Consider the following 18,587-nt stretch of genomic DNA (forward strand, 5'->3'; position numbering starts at 1 on the left):
GACCATGCTTTATTTATCCTGGCTCCATCTCCAGAAATTTAGTGTCTTTGACATGGTAGACACTATTGATTATGAGATAATCTGAAGTGGTGTCACAGTTTTCCCCAAAGGCAGATCTGAATATAGCTGTTTGCCCCTGAAAATGTGGAGGCTTTAAGTGCATGTGTTATTTTAACAGAGCCACAAAAGGCTCACCCAAGGATCACCAGGCACATTCTTCCAGATGTCCTGGAAAGCCATTAGAACAGACTGGAGGGCTGGACTCAGACTCATTCCTCTGACTCTTCTTCCATCATTAGCAGACACTAGAAACACTGAATCTACTGCTTTCATCCAAGAAACACTTCAGCTATTCCCAGTGTTCTTCACATATTCCTTAGGTTTTCTACTTCTCAGTTCCTTTGCTTATGCCTTTATCTACGTCTTGAATATTCTTTCATATCCTCTCAGCTTAAATGGATCCTCCCCACCTTTGAAGGCATATTTTACAATCTACCTTTCCATGAAGATCGTCCTTATCGCTCTAGACAGTAATGACCTGTTCCATCTCTGACCTCAAAGTCTACCTACTGCTTATTATACCAAGCACTGTCTATGATGCCTCATTTGTTCAACATTTTAAAATGCAAGCCATGTGTTAGACCATGTATCTTCCCCGACTGAATGGCAAGGGGCATTAGTGTGACTAATCCATGTTAGATTCCCAAAATGATAGGCCAGTTCATGGATAGTTCTTACAAATACATAGGCTGCTGTACCTCAGGAGACAAGAAACCCTTGGGACTACTGGTCTTTATATTTCTTGACACAAAATACCTGAACTGAGAATAAAAGTCATAGCTTCTTGTTAGCTGTTGTCACTCAGACACTTAAAGAAGAAGGTAAAATCAATCCATCTCTACTCCTGAAGTGATGAGGTTAGGAGAAAGAAGAGATACTCACCTACAGTCTTCAGGAGGAAAAAGGTGAGCTTCAGAATTATGATGTTCATATTATAAGTATATTAAAATGTGTTCTGAAATCAATTCCCGATTGTCCCCATGGGTTCTCGAGCTGCATGTTTGAGGCCACTGAGTCACAGAAGTTTAGGGAAGAGGCCATAGGCATCCATCTCAGACTCATTTATGCATTGTCCAGTCACCTTACCTAAGTATCTTGTGTCTAATATATGAATTAATCTGTGAAATCACCTGCTTTAAAAATATATTTACAAATATATTTATGTGAACCTTATAATATGTAAAATACATTCACAGTTATTGTCTCATTTGATTTGCATAACAATCTTTTGAAGTATTTATTATTTTTTACAGATTAAAATATGAAGTTCAGAGAGACTTTATGAGTCAAAGGTTGCACTGTAAATCTTAGAAATGAAAATGATACTGCATCTTATAACTCAGGGTTCATGGTCTTTCTGTTACCTCTGTACTAATGGTTTCTTTCTTTAAAAGGGGACAATTCAGATTTGAAAGATTTAGGGAAAAAGATCACATTCTAGACTTCTGTTGTCCAGTAATATAGCCACTAGCCATAGGTGGCTACTGAGCATTTGAAATCTGGCCGGGTATAAAATACACTATGGATTTCAAAGATTTGTATAATAAAATAATGTAAAATATCTCATTATTTTTAAAATATGAATTATATGTTGAAATGATGTACATGTACATCATTTTGCATGTACAGTTGGCCTGTGTGTCTGTGGGTTCCACATCTGTGGATTCAACCAATGGCAGATGGAAGATTTTTTTTTAATGGGTGGTTATATCTGTACTGAATATGTACAGACATTTTTCTTGTTATTCCCTGAACAATATACTAAAAGAAATATTTACTTAGCATTTACATTATATTAGGTATTATAAGTAATCTAGAGATGATTTAAAGTATACAAAAGGATGTGCTTAGTTAGGTTACATAAAAATACGACACCATTTTAAATCAGGGACTTGAGCATTCAGGGATTTTGGTATCTGAAGGGGTCCAGGAACCAGTCTCCTATGGATATCAAGGACTGAACTGAGTTAAACAAAACATACTAGTAAAATGTATTTTATCTTTTTATTCTGACTTTTTACAAAATGAACTTCTAGGATGTTTTAAATTGCCCGTGTGTCTGCATTATATGTCTATTGGGCAATGCTGATCTAGCATTTACCTTTGCAAAATACTTTCAATAGTCATAGTTTTAATAATACTGTGAGATGCATTGAAATGTTTAAAAACACTTTTCTTATGATTTTAAATTGCTAAAAACCACCTGAGTCCTGAATGAGGTCTGAATCAATGTAGTAGATTATTTTGGTCAGAAATACAACCTCATAAATTTGTATCCCTAGGCTAGTCAAGTTTACTGTTTATCGGTTGGTTAAATAAAGTAGATGCTGGTTATCATTGCTTACTTTTGTGTGGACTAAGATGGAATGTGTATAATTTTTCTTCCTACAAATGCAAAAACAGAATACAATTTGTTGCAATAATCTATTTGACATGCACATTACACTGCCATGGAATCTGTGAGTTTTCAAATAGGTGGCAAAATACTGAAATGTAAAATTGTACACTTTCTATTCTTCATCTGAGAAGGCTTTCCTTGAGAAGATGTCTTCAAAGATGGGCTTTACATAATCAGGTAATGCTTTCTGGCACAAAATGAATCAGAAAAGTTTAGAGAAGGAAACAAGAAAGAAGATCGATGACTTCAGCTCTAGGAGAAAATAACTGAAAATAGCGCCTCTCAAATGTTAATGCACTCACAAATCATGTGAGAATCCCACTAAAATGTAGATCCTCACTCAGCAGGTGTGAGGTAGGGCCTGAGACTGTGCATTGCTAAAAAAATCTCTGAGTGATACTGCTACTACTGGTTCATAGACCACACTGTGTAGTACAAACCTAAACCACAGAAATGTTTTAGAAAGTGAGAACACAGGAAAAAGAAACCTCACAGGCTTGAGAAGAGGGAAGAACAGTGCAGGACACTAGAATAAAACAAGGAACATGAGCAGAATAAGACATTTTACTTGGAGAGGGAGCCCAGTAGGAATTAGGGGGCATGCAGGAGAATTAAATATAAGAGTGGTCAGTGTGTTTGTAACACTCAGGACAGATTTTAAAACATGCTTTAAAAAACCCATGATATTAAAGACAAAAAACTGAGCATATAGGTTTTTTGAACATTACTTCGATAAGCCTCTGTGACTAGACTACACACATGAATGCTAACTGGTAAGGAGTAATGGGAAAGGAAGACTCCGGGTATTTCTGTAACAGGCAAAGAGCAATTGGACACTCACTTTTGCACGTGATCTTCCATCTCCATCATTTAGGATGAGAGAGGAGCAGATACAAAAGACACAGGTTCTGAAGAATGGGGAAGCCTGCTCAGAGAATAGCTGTTCAGTGCTCATGCAGCTTATTTGTTTTAAACTGTGAGAAGGATTTGGGAAATAAGGAGTCACCTGCATCCTGGGAACTCAAGCTGCCTACGGAAGTTTGGCTTGTCCTATTACAGCAGTAATATATTGGAAACAAGAAGACATGAACAGCTTATTAAATAGCCAGGTAGCTGGGCAGAATGAGAAAATGCAACCCTAGACAATTGAGCCATTTGGGCAAATATGAGAGTCTGGAGTGAGCTCTGGGAGAGGCCCAACACTAAATAAAGGGTCAGCTTTCTCAGAGATAAGGCCATGATTGACCCCAGAATAGACGATTCCAAGATGTGTGCTATGTGGGAGCCTCCAAGTGGCAACAAAAACATCTGGGTTGCTTGCATTGCCAGTAGTGGCAGCACTAGTGTGTTATATTGGACTCCATGGCCTTGGCGAGAGATGTAGCCTTAGCCTGGAGGATGGCCAGAGATCCAGAAGGTAGAAACAGTTTTGGGAAGTCTGCCATTCTACTATCATCCAGCTTTTTACTCAAGTGTACGAATTAATTTCCCACCTGGAAATCAATGTATGATTAGATTAAAAATAGAACAAACACACAAATGAAAATATAGTTTTCTAAAATACATTCTGAGCCATGCTTGTGCTATAAAATGTTTTTAAAAAGTGTGAAGTTGGCCTATCACCAAGTAAGTTTGATAAATATTGTATTTATATAGTCCTTCAGGAGGACTGAGGCATCCTCCAGTTACAAAACCAGTTTAACTATGTAATTCAGGATGTCTGAAGTCATATGATCCTCAGATACTTATTTAATGTAACACCTTTTAACATCTCCCTGGAATTATTCTTTTGCTGAACACCCTTGGAAACCTTGATGTAGAAAATTATAATTCACCTTAACAGTAGATACCTTCTCTATAGGAAATCCTGGAGGAAGAGTCAGCCTTTGGCAAATGTGTCACTAGCAAAAGTATTCTCATAGTCCTCAGCCTCTAGTTTATGCACCTACTTAACTAATTTGCTTTAAGAAACTGTGGAGTCCTAATTAGGGAAGGGGAGTCAGGCTGGTGGGAGCAGGGAAAAGCAAAAAGAGAAAGCAGATGAGCTACAAGTCTGCCTTTCTTCATGGCCCAGGACACACAGCCCTCCTGCACAAATAACTCACAGTCTTCCTGCATCCAACTATCACCAGACACCTGCAAATTAGCTCCCTGCAACCTTGGTGTTATCAGTACTGCACAAAGCCCTCTTCAACAAACAGCATAAATATCATCCTATAAAATTTTCAGCAAGGCTTTGTATCTTTGCAGTCAGCTTCTGCTGAGTAGCTCGTTGTCTCCCTGGCAACGTATTTTCCTACTTTCTCTAATTAGTCTGTCTTCCTTTACCTACAACTGTCTTGCTAAATTCTTTTACTCCAGTGGCTGGCATTTCTCCACAACAGAAATCCCCTGGTTTTAAGCATTAGTTTTGTCTCTAACTCTGGAGTAAAAGGTTCTGTCGTTTGCTAAGAGAATTTGTTCCACTGGAGGGTATGGAAAAGTGTGTTTCTGGTTCCTAAAATCTATAGGTAGGTAGATGCTTACCGACTCCATTTCATCTGAGTGTTCACTTTTTGGTTTTCGTAACACAAAGTCAGTGTTTTCATAGAGAGAAAACACTGATATTTGTTTTCTATAGAAACAAACACTGATAGAATTTGACTTTTTCTCTCTCATCTCCACAGATTTCTCAGAGAAGAATGGGTGTAAAAAACCATTCCACAGTGACTGAGTTTCTTCTTTCAGGATTAACTGAACAAGCAGAGCTTCAGCTGCCCCTCTTCTGCCTCTTCTTAGGAATTTACACAGTTACTGTGGTGGGAAACCTCAGCATGATCTCAATTATTAGGCTGAATCGTCAACTTCATACCCCCATGTACTATTTCCTGAGTAGTTTGTCTTTTTTAGATTTCTGCTATTCTTCTGTCATTACCCCTAAAATGCTATCAGGGTTTTTATGCAGAGATAGATCCATCTCCTATTCTGGATGCATGATTCAGCTGTTTTTTTTCTGTGTTTGTGTTATTTCTGAATGCTACATGCTGGCAGCCATGGCCTGCGATCGCTACGTGGCCATCTGCAGCCCACTGCTCTACAGGGTCATCATGTCCCCTAGGGTCTGTTCTCTGCTGGTGGCTGCTGTCTTCTCAGTAGGTTTCACTGATGCTGTGATCCATGGAGGTTGTATACTCAGGTTGTCTTTCTGTGGATCAAACATCATTAAACATTATTTCTGTGACATTGTCCCTCTTATTAAACTCTCCTGCTCCAGCACTTATATTGATGAGCTTTTGATTTTTGTCATTGGTGGATTTAACATGGTGGCCACAAGCCTAACAATCATTATTTCATATGCTTTTATCCTCACCAGCATCCTGCGCATCCACTCTAAAAAGGGCAGGTGCAAAGCGTTTAGCACCTGTAGCTCCCACCTGACAGCTGTTCTTATGTTTTATGGGTCTCTGATGTCCATGTATCTCAAACCTGCTTCTAGCAGTTCACTCACCCAGGAGAAAGTATCCTCAGTATTTTATACCACTGTGATTCTCATGTTGAATCCCTTGATATATAGTCTGAGGAACAATGAAGTAAGAAATGCTCTGATGAAACTTTTAAGAAGAAAAATATCTTTATCTCCAGGATAAATATGCTCTTTATTAAGATCTATTTCTGTATTCATAATCATGATTATATGTATATATTTATACCTTGACTATTTAAAAGTAATTTGAGGTCCAGGTACGGTGACTTACGCCTGTAATCCCAGCACTTTGGGAGGCCGAGTTGGGTGGATCACGAGGTCCGGTGTTCAAGACCAGCCTGGCCAAGATGATGAAACCCCATCACTATTAAAATTACAAAAAAATTAGCAGGGCATGGTGGTGGGCACCTGTAATCCCACCTACTTGGGAGGCTGAGGCAGAAGAATTGCTTGAACTCGGGTGGCGGAGGTTGCAGTGAGCCGAGATCACACCATTGCACTCCAGCCTGGGTGACAAGAGTGAAAGTCTGTCTCAAAAAAAAAAAAAAAAAAAAAAGTAATTTGAAATCAGATGAAATTATATATATTTAGATTAGTAAATATATGCACAGATAATTACATTAATAACATGTAAAACAACATATATGAAAGTGAAAAGTAAAAAATATTTTAAATTTAAAGTTAATACCTTTGCTGGGATTGAACAACAATTTTTATCTTTAGTTTCCTGAATCCAAGCCCAAAAGGAAATCATCATCATGGTGTACTGCATAGTCATATCAGAAGAAAACCACACCTAATTTCAAAAAAAATTGAGCAGCGTGATGGAAATTATTACAACAATTTTGTAATAACTGTGGGAGAATTTTTCTTGATTGTTTCTTATAAAGGGCTTCTTGAAAGCCAGTATTGTCTTACAGTGTAATGCAATGAAGAAGATTCAACAAAGGACTAAGCTAATATGGTCTCAGTATTTGGCAGCTGTTGATCCAAAAATAAGATTTAACAATGACTAGATGAAGAGATGATGTTTATAACCTTATTAAAATGTCTTGTTTTTTTTCAGCATGACCAGTATATGTGCAGTATTTTGTAACTTTCTGTTTGTTTCTTTTGAGTTGGTATTTTCTTTGTAAGCTGTAACTAGGTGTCTTTAATTTCCTCCACATGTTTTGAGATAAAGATAATGAAAAAGCTTATGATTTTTAAGAATGAACCTATACAGTGAACCAAGATAGTATGCTGTATGGGGAATGTGATGTATTAGCTAATTCATTTGTTCAGCATATGCTTATCATGGACACCATGTGCCAGGCACTGTTCTGAGTGTTGGAATATTATGGTGAATATGATAGACAAGGTATCTCTTTACTTTTAGGGGGTGAAAAAGATGATAGATAATACAGAGGTAGTTCAGTGAACAAACATAATTATAGATAAGTCCTTTGGAAAAAATGAGTTATGTAATTTTCAGTGGTTCAAATTCTACTCTCAATAGAGCTCTTTGAAGAAAGGACATTTGAAATGAAACCTAAATGAAGAAAAGGGTACAGTTATGCAGAAACCAGAAAGGCAGCGGCAAGTACAAAGTCGAAGGCTGGAACAAACTTGGCCATATTCAAGAAACGGAGAAGGCAGTATGGCAGACGGTCAGTGAGAGAGGGAGAAAAGGAACCAAAGGAGGTTGGATAAGTAGGCAAACTCTAGATCACTTAGGGAGTTTTAATTCTATCCTAAGTACAATGAGAAGCAATTGGAATGTTTCAAAAGCAGAGCGATGTAATCTGTTTTACATTTGAAAAATATCTTCTGGTTATTGATTAGAAAATAGATAGATATTTATGTGTGTGTATGTTTGTGGGAAGGGTTAGATAGGGAAAGATAGTGCTATTGGCCAGAGTGGAAGCAGAGAGGGTACTTTTGATGCTGTTAAACTTATTTTGGTAAGAAACAATGTGATTTTAGTTCCAGGAATAGCAGTAGAAATAAAAAAAAATAGATTCAAGATACATTTCTGACTGTGAATAAATAAGATTTGCTGTTGAATTGAAAGTGTGATGCTTGAGGATGATATATTTTAATAAAGTTAAAATAAAAATTTCAAAATAAGGAAAATATAAACAATAAAAGTGAGTCAAGACCAGTCAAAATAAAAACACAGATGGATCATAAAATCCAAAGTAGTTGCAATGTTTGATCTTCATATCTGTCTGAGTTTCCAAGTAGCCAAAATTAACATAAATATAATAGTAGAGTTATACAGTTTTCAATGTATGTTAAACAATGCTTATTATAAAGAAGCAAGCCTTTCAGTTATTCATAGTAAGCAAAGTTTTCTCATAAAGTAAAAATCACTTCTAACTCATTTTCTCTTCCCCAAAGAAACAAAAACAATTTACATGGAAATTTACATAGGAGTTACTGACAGATACCACTAGACAGAGCTTTTGCAAGAAGGAGAAAAGCTGTGTTTTTTATATAAAGTGCTTAATTTTTTGTGTGTGTTATATCTCCATTATGGGATGCCTCTCATGTTACTGATTAGTTAACAAGGACCTGAGATATTTTTCTACTTAGAAGATTTTTCTGACTCCTGTTTAGAAGGTCAGTTAAGAAAATTAGGAGAGAGTAGGTAAGAAATGGTTTGACCGAGGGATGATACATAGGTGGGGTTACTGCATTTACTCTTGTATGCATATCCATGGCAGGCATAACTTCTGCATTATGGGACTCCAAAAAATTCAGATGTGGTGTGGTCTTTTTTTTTTTTTTTTAAACTCAGTGCTCAAGACTACCACTGTCATTTGACTAGCAATGACATATATAAAGAAATCTAATTTCCTTGGGGCTTTTACTAATTTTATATGCAGCTTATTCATTTTCAATACATTTTCCAAGGCTGAGAGACTACATAATGATTTAGGAACAACATCCTAGCTAGGGCTAAAGAGTATTTGTTTTTTGTATGTTCTCTTTGCATATATTCCATTTAAAATTTTGAAGGTTGAAGGTGGAGCAAGAGGGTGGAATAGAAGCCTACATTCTTTGTCCCTCTCTGCTGTAACATCAAATTTTTAACAACCATCTGCACACAGAAAAGCACCTTCACAAGAACCAAAAAGCGGGTGAGCAATCGCAGTACCTGGTGTTAACTTAATATCATGGAAAGTGGCATTGAGGAAGCCAGGAGAGACAATCTAGAATCACCATTGCCATCTTTCCTCTATTCCCTTGCAGTGGCTGTGAAGCATGTAGAATCTGTGCACTTTGGGGAGGGAGAGTACAGCGACTGGGAGACTCGGCATTGAACTCAGTGCTGCCCTGTCAAAGCAGAGAATAAAGCCATGCTAGGCTCGGCCAGTGCCTGCACACAGAGGGACCATTTGGACCAGCCCTAGCCAGAGAAGAATCACCCATCCCAGCACTCAGAACATGAGTTTCTTACCAAGCCTCACCACTGCAGACTGAAGTGCTCTATAGTCCTAGGTAAACTTGAAAGGCAGTCTAGGGCACAGGACTGTAATTCCTAAGCAACTGCTAGTGCTAGCGTGGGCTTCGAGCCAGTGAACTGGGGTGGCATGTGACCTAGGGAGACATCAGCTGGCATGGGTAAGGGAGGACTTGCACTATCCCTCCCCCAGCCCCAGGCAGTGCAGCTTGTAGCAATGAAAGTGACTCCTTCCTTCTGCTTAAGAGGCGGAGAGTGAAGAGTAAAGCAGACTTTGTCTTGCATCTTGGATATCAGCTCAGCCATAGTAGGATAGGGTACCAGGCAGAGTTGTGAGACCCCCATTCCTGGCCCTAGTTCCTGGATGACATTTCTAGACTCACCCTGGGCCAAAAGAGAGCCAGTGTCTTGAAGGAAAAGACCCAGTCCTGGCAGGATTCATCACCTGCTAACTAAAGAGACCTTGGTATTTGAATAACCAGCAGTGATACTCAGGGAATATGCCATGGGCCTTGGGCTCTGAGACATGCTAGCTTTAGGAGAGACTCAGCATATTCCCAGCTGTGGTGGCTACAATGAAAGTCTCCTGTTTGAGAAAAACAGAGGGAAGAGTAAAGAAACTTTTTATTGCACCCTAGTTACCAGCTTGGTTACAGTGAGATATAGCAACAAGTAGGCCCAAGTCCAGGCCTAGGCTCTTGGACAGCATATCTGGGCCTGCCCTGGGCTATAAGGGAGGCCACTGCCCTAAAGGGTGAGTCCCAAGCTTGGCAGTATTCACCACAAACTGATAGAAGAGTCCTTGGGGTTTAAGCAAACATCAGCAGTGGCCTGGCAGAACCCCCCATGGACTGGTGGTGGTGGTGGCCACAGAAAGAGGCTCCTCTGCCTTTGGTAAGGGAGGGAAGAGTGGGAAGGACTTTGTATTGTGCTTTGAGTGCCAGCTTAGCTGCAGTAGAACAGAACATCAGGTAAGGCTTTTGACTCCAATTCCTGGCTCCTAGACAGCATCTGGGGACATACCCAGGGCCTGGGGGACTCACTATCCTGAAGGAAAAAGCCTTGGGCAAAACCCAGTGCTCTGCTGGCATCAAGTCTGACCCAGTTCAGTCCCAGTGGTGGTGGCCACGGGGTGCTTGCCTTACTCCCACTGTGCACACCAGTTCCAGGTGGATCAGCACAGAGAGAGTGAGACCCTGAGTATTTGGGAGAAAGTAAGGGAAAAGAACAAGAATCTTTTCTGGGTAATCCAGAAAATTCTTTTGGATCCTATCGAAGACCAAGGCAAGTCGGCAAAAAGCACAGCATTATTAGGCGTGGGGCACATGTCCCTTTGAATACCTGGAAAGCCTTCCCAAGAAGGACAGGCACAAACAAGCCTACTGTGAAGATTACAAGTGCCTAACTCTTCAATGTTCAGACACTGAAGAACATCTACAAGCATCAACACCATCTACAAAACATGACCTCACCAAATGAACTATATGAGCCACCAGGGTCCAATCCTGGAGAAACCGATATGTGACCTTTCAGACGGAGAATTCAAAATAGCTGTTTTGAAGTAACTCAAATAATTTCAAGATAACACAGAGAAGAAATTCAGAATTTTATCAGATAAATTTAACAAAGAGATTGAAATAATTAAAAAGAATCAAGCAGAAATTATAGAGTTGAAAAATGCAATTGACATGTTTAAGAATGTATCAGAGACTTTTAATAGCAGAATTGATCAAGCTTCTGCTTGAAAGAATTAGTGAACTTGAAGACAGCCTATTTGAAAATACAGAGAGGAAAGAGAAGAAAAAAGAATACAAAGTGGCGAAGCAGCCTACAAGATCTAGACAATAGCTTCAAATGCGAAAATCTAAGAGTTGTTGGCATGAAAGAGGAGACAGAGAATGTGATAAAGGTAAAAAGTTTATTCAAAGAGACAATAACAGAGAACTTCCCAAACCTAAAGAAAGACATTAATATTTAAGTACAAGAAGGTTATAGAACATTAAGCAGATCTAACCCAAAGAAGACTACCTCATGGCATTTAATAATCAAACTCCCAAAGGTCAATGATAAAGAAAGGATCCTAAAAGCAGCAAGAGAAAATAAACAAATACCATATAATAGAGCTCCAATACGTCTGGCAGCTAACTTTTCAGTGGAAACCTTACAGCCCAAGAAAGTGTGCCATGACATTTCAATTGCTGAAAGAAAAAAAACTTGTACCCTCGAATAGTATAGTATATCCACTGAAAATGTCCTTTATACAAGAAGGAGAAATAAAGTCCTTCCCAGACAAAAGTTGAGGATTTCATCAACACCAGACCTGTCCTACGAGAAATGCTAAAGGGAATTCTTCAATCTGAAAGAAAAATATGTGAATGAGCAAGAAGAAATCATGTGGAGGTACGAAACTCACTGGTAATATTATATAGTAAGCACACAGAAAAGCACAGATTAATATAATGCTGTAATTGTGACACATAAACTTCTCTTAAGTATAAAGACTAAATGATGGGCTAATCAAAAGTAATAACTACAACAACTTTTGAAGACACAGACAGTACAATAAGACATAAACAGAAACAATAAAACGTTAAAAAGCAGAGAGATAAAGTGTAGTGTTTTTATTATTTTCTTTTTGCATGTTTGTTTATGCAATCAGTGTTAAGTTGTCATCAGTTTAAAATAATGGGTTATAAGATAGCACTTGCAAGCTTCGTGGTAATCTCAAACAACATGCAACAGATATACAAAAAATAGGAAGCAAGAAATTAAAGCATATCAGTAGAGAAAATCACCTTCACTAAAAGGAAGACAGGAAAGAAGAAAAGAAGGAAGAGGATACCACAAAACAACCAGAAAAACCAATAACAAAATGGCAGGAGTATGTCCCCATTTATCAATAATGACACTGAATGTAAATGGTCTAAACTCTCCAATCAAAAGACATAGAGTGGCTGAGTGGATGAATAAACAGGACCCAACAATCTGTTGCCTAAAAGAAACACACTTCATCTATAAAGATACACATAGATTGAAAACAAAGGGATGGAAAAAGATATTCCATGCTAATGGAAACAAAAAAAGAGCAGGAGTATCTATACTTATATCAGACAGAATAGATTTCAAGAAAAAAAACTGTAAGAAGAGACAAGGAAGGTCATTATATAATGATATGGGGTCAATTCAACAAAGGATATAACAATTATAAATACATACACACGCAACACTGGAGCACACAGATATATAAAGCAAATATTATTAAAGCAAAAGAGAAAGGTAGATCTCAAGATAATAATAACTTGTGACTTCTACACCCCACTGTCAGCATTGGACAGATCGCCTAGACAGAAAATCAACAAGGAAACATCAGACTTTATCTGCACTATAGAGCAAATTGACCTAATAGATATTTACAGGACATTTCATCCAGTAGCTATAGAATACACATTTTTCTCCTCAGCACATGGATCCTTCTAAAAAATGGACCATATGTTAGACCATAAAACAAGCCTTAAATCATTCAAAAAATTTAAAATAATATCAAGTATCTTCTCTAACCACAGTGGAATAAAACTACAAATCAGTAACAAGAGGAATTTTGGAAACAACACAAACACAAAGAAATTAAACAATATGCTCCTGAATGACCAGTGGGTCAATGAAGAAATTAGGAAGGAAATTGAAAAAATTTCTTGAAACAAATAATGGAAACACAACATAGAAAAACCTATGGGCTACAACAAAAGCAGTACTCAAGAGAAACATTTATAGCTATAAGTAGCTACATCAAAAAAGAGGAGAAACTTTAAGTAAATAATGTAATGATGCATCTTAAATAATTATAAAACCAAGACCAAACCAAATGAAAAAATTACTAGAAGAAAATGAATAATAAAGATGAGATAAGAAATAAATGAATTTAAAATGAATAAAAAATACAAAAATCAAAATAAAAAGTTGTTTTTTTGACAAGTTAAACTAAATTGACAAACTTTTAGCCAGACTAAGAAAAAAAGACAGAAGACCCAAATAAATAAAATCAGAGGTGAAAAAGATGTTATGACAGATACTGCAGAAATTAAAAAGATCATCAGTGACTAATATGAGCAACTATATGCCAATAAATCAGAAAGTCTAGAATAAATAGATACATTCCTAGACAAATACAACCTACCAAGATTGAACTAAGAAAAAATCCAAAACCTGACCAGACCAAGTAACGAGATCAAAGCCATAATAAAAAGTCTCCCAGTAAAGAAAAGCTTGGGATCCAATAACTTCATGGCTGAATTCTACCAAATATTTAAAGAAGAACTAATACTAACCCTACTCAAACTGTTCTGAAAAATAGAGGAGGAAGGAATACTTCCAAACTCATTCTATGAGGCCAGTATTACCCTGATACCAAAACCAGACAAAGACACATAAAAAAAAAGAAATTACAGGCCAATATCCTTGATGAATATTGATGCAAAAACACTTAATAAAATACTTGCAAACCAAATTCAAGAATACATTAAAAAGATTATCCATCATGACCAAGTGGGATTTCTCCCAGGGATGCAAGGATGGTTCAACATATATGAATCAATCAATGTATACATTATATCATCAGAATGAAGGATAAAAACCATATGATCATATCAATTGATGCTGAAAAGTATTTGATAAAATTCAACCATCCTTTCATGAAAAAAAAAACCTCAAAAATTGAATATAGAGGGAACAAACATCAATATAATAAAAACCATATATGACAAACCCACAGTAAATGGGGAAAAGCTGAAAGCCTTTCCTCTAAGATCTGGAACATGACAAGGATGCCCACTTTCACCCCTGTTATTCAACATAGTACTGGGAGTCTCAGCTAGAGGAATCAGAAAAGAGAAAGAAATAAAGGATTTGTCTAGGAATGTATCTATTTATTCTAGATTTTCTGATTTCCAAATTGGAAAGCAAGAAGTCAAATTAACCTTGTTTGCAGATGATAATATCTAATATTTGGAAAAACCTGAAGACTCCACCAAAAAACTATTAGAACTGATAAACAAATTCAGTAAAGTTGTAGGATACAAAATCAACATAAAAAATCAGTAGCATTTCTATATGTCAACAATGAACAATCTGAAAAAAAATTTAAAAAGTAATCCCATTTACAACAGCGACAAAGAAAATTAAATACTGAGTAATTAACCAAAGAAGCAAATGATCTCTGCAATCAAAACTAGAGAACGCTGATGAAAGAAATTGAAGAGGACACAAAAAATGGAAAGATATTCTATGTTCATAGATTGGAAAAATAAATATGGTTAAAATGTCTATACTCCCCAAAGCAATCTACAGATTCAGTATAATCTCTATCAAAATACCAATGACATTCTTCACAGAAATAGCAAAAACAATTCTTACACCACAGAAGACCCAGAATAGCCAAAGCTATTCTGAGCAAAAAGAACAAAACTGGAGAAATCACATTACCTGACTTCAAATTATACTGTAGAGCTACAGTAACCAAGACAGCATGATACCGGCATAAAAACAGACACATAGACCAATGGAACAGAATAAAGAACCCAGAAATAAATCCACACATCTACAGTCATTTTCTACAAAGGTACCAAGAATAAACACTGGGGGGAAAACCAGTCTCTTCAATGAATGGTGCTGGAAAAACTGGATATCCATATGCAGGAGAATGAAACTTGACCCCGCCTCTAGCCTTATACAAAAATCAAATACAGATGGATTTAATACTTAAATTTAAAACCCCAAACTATGAAACTACTACAAGAAAACATTGGGGAAACACTCCAGGACATTGGTCTAGGCAATAATTTCTTGAGAAATACCACATAAGCACTGGCACCCAAAGCAAAAACGGGCAAATGGGATCACATCAAGTTACACAGCTTCTGTACAATAAAGAATACAATCAACAAAGTGACAAGACAACCCACAGAATGGGAGAAAATATTTGCAAACTACCCCATCTGACAAGGGATTAATAACCAGAATAGCTCAAAACAACTCTATAGGAAAAAAATCTAATAATCTGATTAAAAATAGGCAAAATATTTTAATAGACATTTCTCAAAAGAAGACATGCAAATGGCAAACAGGTGTATGAAAAAGTGCTCAACATCATTGATCATCAGAGATATGCAAGCAGAACTACTGTGAGATGTCATCTCACCCCAGTTAAAATGGCTTTTTTTTCCAAAATTCAAGCAATAACAAATGCTGATGAGGGCATGGAGCAAAAAGAACCCCCTTACACTTTTGAGGGGAATGTAAAATACTACAACCACTATGGAAAACAGCTTAAAAGTTTCTCACAAAACTAAAAATAGAGCTACCATACGATATAGCAATCCCACTGCTGGATATATACACAAAAGAAAGGAAATCGGTATATCAAAGAGAAATTTGCACTCCCATGTTTATTGCAGCACTGTTCACAACAGCCAGGATTTGGAAGCCACCTAAGTAAGTGTCCATCAACAGATGAGTGGAAAAAGAAAAATGTGGTACCTATAAACAATAAAAAACTATTAAACCATAACAAAGAATGAGATTCTGTCATTTTCAATGACATGGATGGAACTGGAGATCATTATGTTACGTAAAACAAGTCAGGCACAGAAAGACAACCATTGCATGTTCTCACTTATTTGTGGGAACTGAAAATTAAACCAATCGAACTCATGGACATAGAGCATAGAAGAGTGACTACCAGAGTCTGAGAAACTTACTGGGCAGATGAGAGGGATTTGGGGATGATTAATGGGTAAAAAAAAAAAAAAAATTAGAAAGAATGAATAATACGTAGTATTTGATAGCACAACAGAAGGACTATAGAAAATAATAATTTACTTTTACATTTTTAAATAATTAAAGAGTATAGTTGGATCGTTTGTAACAAAAAGGATAAACGCTTGAGGGGATGGATGCCAGATTTTCCATAATGTAATTATTATGCATTGTGTGCCTGTACCAAAATATCTCATGTACCCCATAAATATATATGCCTACTATTTACCCACAAAAAATGTTAAAACATTAAAAAAAATTAGGGGGCATTTAGAAACAACTGTTGGGGAAATCAGAGTGTCAGGATGGCAGCCATTTTTTTCCCCAAAAGTACATCTAATACAATTTTAAAATATAATTAATATATATTTATTAAAACTTACGCTCTCCAGAGAAAACCTCTTTGTTTCTATCCATGCTTTGTAAGAACTTATTATATAAAATTCTGGGGAAAAAGTCAACAAATTCAAAACAACAGAAATGCCTTTAACCACAGCATAATAAAATTTGAAATTAATATGTGCAGTTTAAACACACCAACCTTATATTTTATATACCAATTTTTTAAAAGTCTTCTAAATAGCTAGAGTCAAAAAAGAATTCTTAGAATTAACGACAACTCCAATAAATGAGAAACTTCCACACTGGCCATGAAGAATAACTGAGATCAGGTTAAGTCCCTGCTATAAACAACCAGAAACAAAAAAAAATATTTAAAAACTACTGCTTGGACACATTGGCAATAGGTAGGCTGAGTATGATCCCTGATAGAAGAGAAACAAATGAGGTGAGTCTTATAATTACATTGATTGTTCTCCCTGTTGGCACTTTCTAGACTATAAGTCAGAGAAGGGAATCCTTAACAGAGCACAGTAGTCTTACTGTGCTGAGGAGAGTTTGGGGAGGTGAAGGCACTTAGACTATTTGGTACACATCTTCAGAGAGGAGGGGCGTCATATAGAGAAAGAACTCTATAAATTCTCATAGGAAGTTACCTTCAGTGTTTGACTGAACACCAGTGTTTGGGGTAGAACTCCACAAGGCCTAGCAAATAACAGCTGGAAAGCTACAAGGTAAAAACTTCTCAGAGCTCACAACCGTATGATCTTTTCATTTGACACAATTGATCATCCATTTGTGAAAAAAATATGTTGCAAAGCAGGAAACGACACGTGATAAAAGCTTTGAAATTATTAAAAATCTATGTATTACTTCTCTATAATGACTTGAAAGTCATACTAAAATGGACCAACTTTAAGAGAAAATTTGTATTGAGTCAAAGAGGAATTTAAAGCACAAATAAATGAAAACTTTGAAAGAAATTGCTTCCAAAAGAAGATCCAAGTCTATATCACTGGTAAATTCTGTAAAAAGCATCAAGACGTAAATATTCCCGATACAGAAAATCTTGAGAGGACCTCCTATTTATTAGGTATAATTCTGATACCAAAGCCTATCCAGATAGCTTGAAAAGTAAAGTCTGAAGACTGATTTCACCAATATAGATGTAAAAGTCCTAAAACCGACACTAACAAACCAAAGCAATGGCACATTAAAACGTCATCCAGAAAGTCTAGAATTTGTGTAATTAAGCAATCTATCAAATTTATGTCATACAAATTGATTCTATTAGAAAATATTGATAATCTTGAATTTTTTTTCTTATTTCCATAAGTTTTTGGGGAACAGGTGGTATTTTGTTACATGAGTAACTCTTTAGTGAGATTGTGGTGCACACATCACCCAAGCAGTATACACTGAACCCAATTTGTCATCTTTTATTCCTCAGCCCCTTCGACTCTTTGCCCCTGAGTGTCCAAAGTCCATTGTATCATTCTTATGCCTTCGCATCCTCATAGCTTAGCTCTCACTTATGAATGATAACATAACGATATTTTATTTTCCATTCCTGAGTTAGAAAATGTTGATAATCATAATAAGTGCCTTGTGTTCTTCCAGGTTCTGATTTGAAACAAAGCAATAACAACCAAAAAACCTTTCAATATCTTTAATCATCTAATAATAAAATGATCTTACCTCAACAAAGAAAAAAGCAATATTTAATATTAAAATCAGAGACTCAAGACAATAATGTTTGCTATCACCGTCGTTATCTAATATTTTCTGGATTTACAGCTAATTTTGAACCGGTGAAACCTATGTAAGTGTATTATTTTAAAAACAAGTAGAGCTTGGTCATACCGATAGAATTGACAGAATCTTCAATGGAATTGAATCAAAATTCTTAAAACAAAGTTTAATATATATATAGACAAACTTAGTATATGATTTTGTAAAAATCATAAACCAAAAGCGAAGTGGTAATTTACACTAAAAACAGAGATTGAAAATTTAACTTTTTTTTTTTTTTTTTTTAAAGAAATGGAGTCTCAGTAAGTTGCCCAGAC

General features: G+C 36.4%; 1 protein-coding gene across 1 annotated transcript; it reads left to right on the top strand.

The window, feature by feature from the left end:
- Nucleotides 1-874: 874 nt before the first annotated feature.
- On the top strand, nucleotides 875-7,937 carry OR8D4 (olfactory receptor family 8 subfamily D member 4). The gene is made up of 2 exons (NM_001005197.2): nucleotides 875-965; nucleotides 5,125-7,937. The coding sequence occupies exon 2, from the start codon at nucleotides 5,140-5,142 to the stop codon at nucleotides 6,082-6,084; it is 945 nt and encodes a 314-aa protein (NP_001005197.1). The 5' UTR covers nucleotides 875-965; nucleotides 5,125-5,139; the 3' UTR covers nucleotides 6,085-7,937.
- Nucleotides 7,938-18,587: the final 10,650 nt, after the last annotated feature.

This window comes from Homo sapiens, chromosome 11, assembly GCF_000001405.40.
Source record: "Homo sapiens chromosome 11, GRCh38.p14 Primary Assembly".
Taxonomy (NCBI): Eukaryota; Metazoa; Chordata; class Mammalia; order Primates; family Hominidae; genus Homo; species Homo sapiens.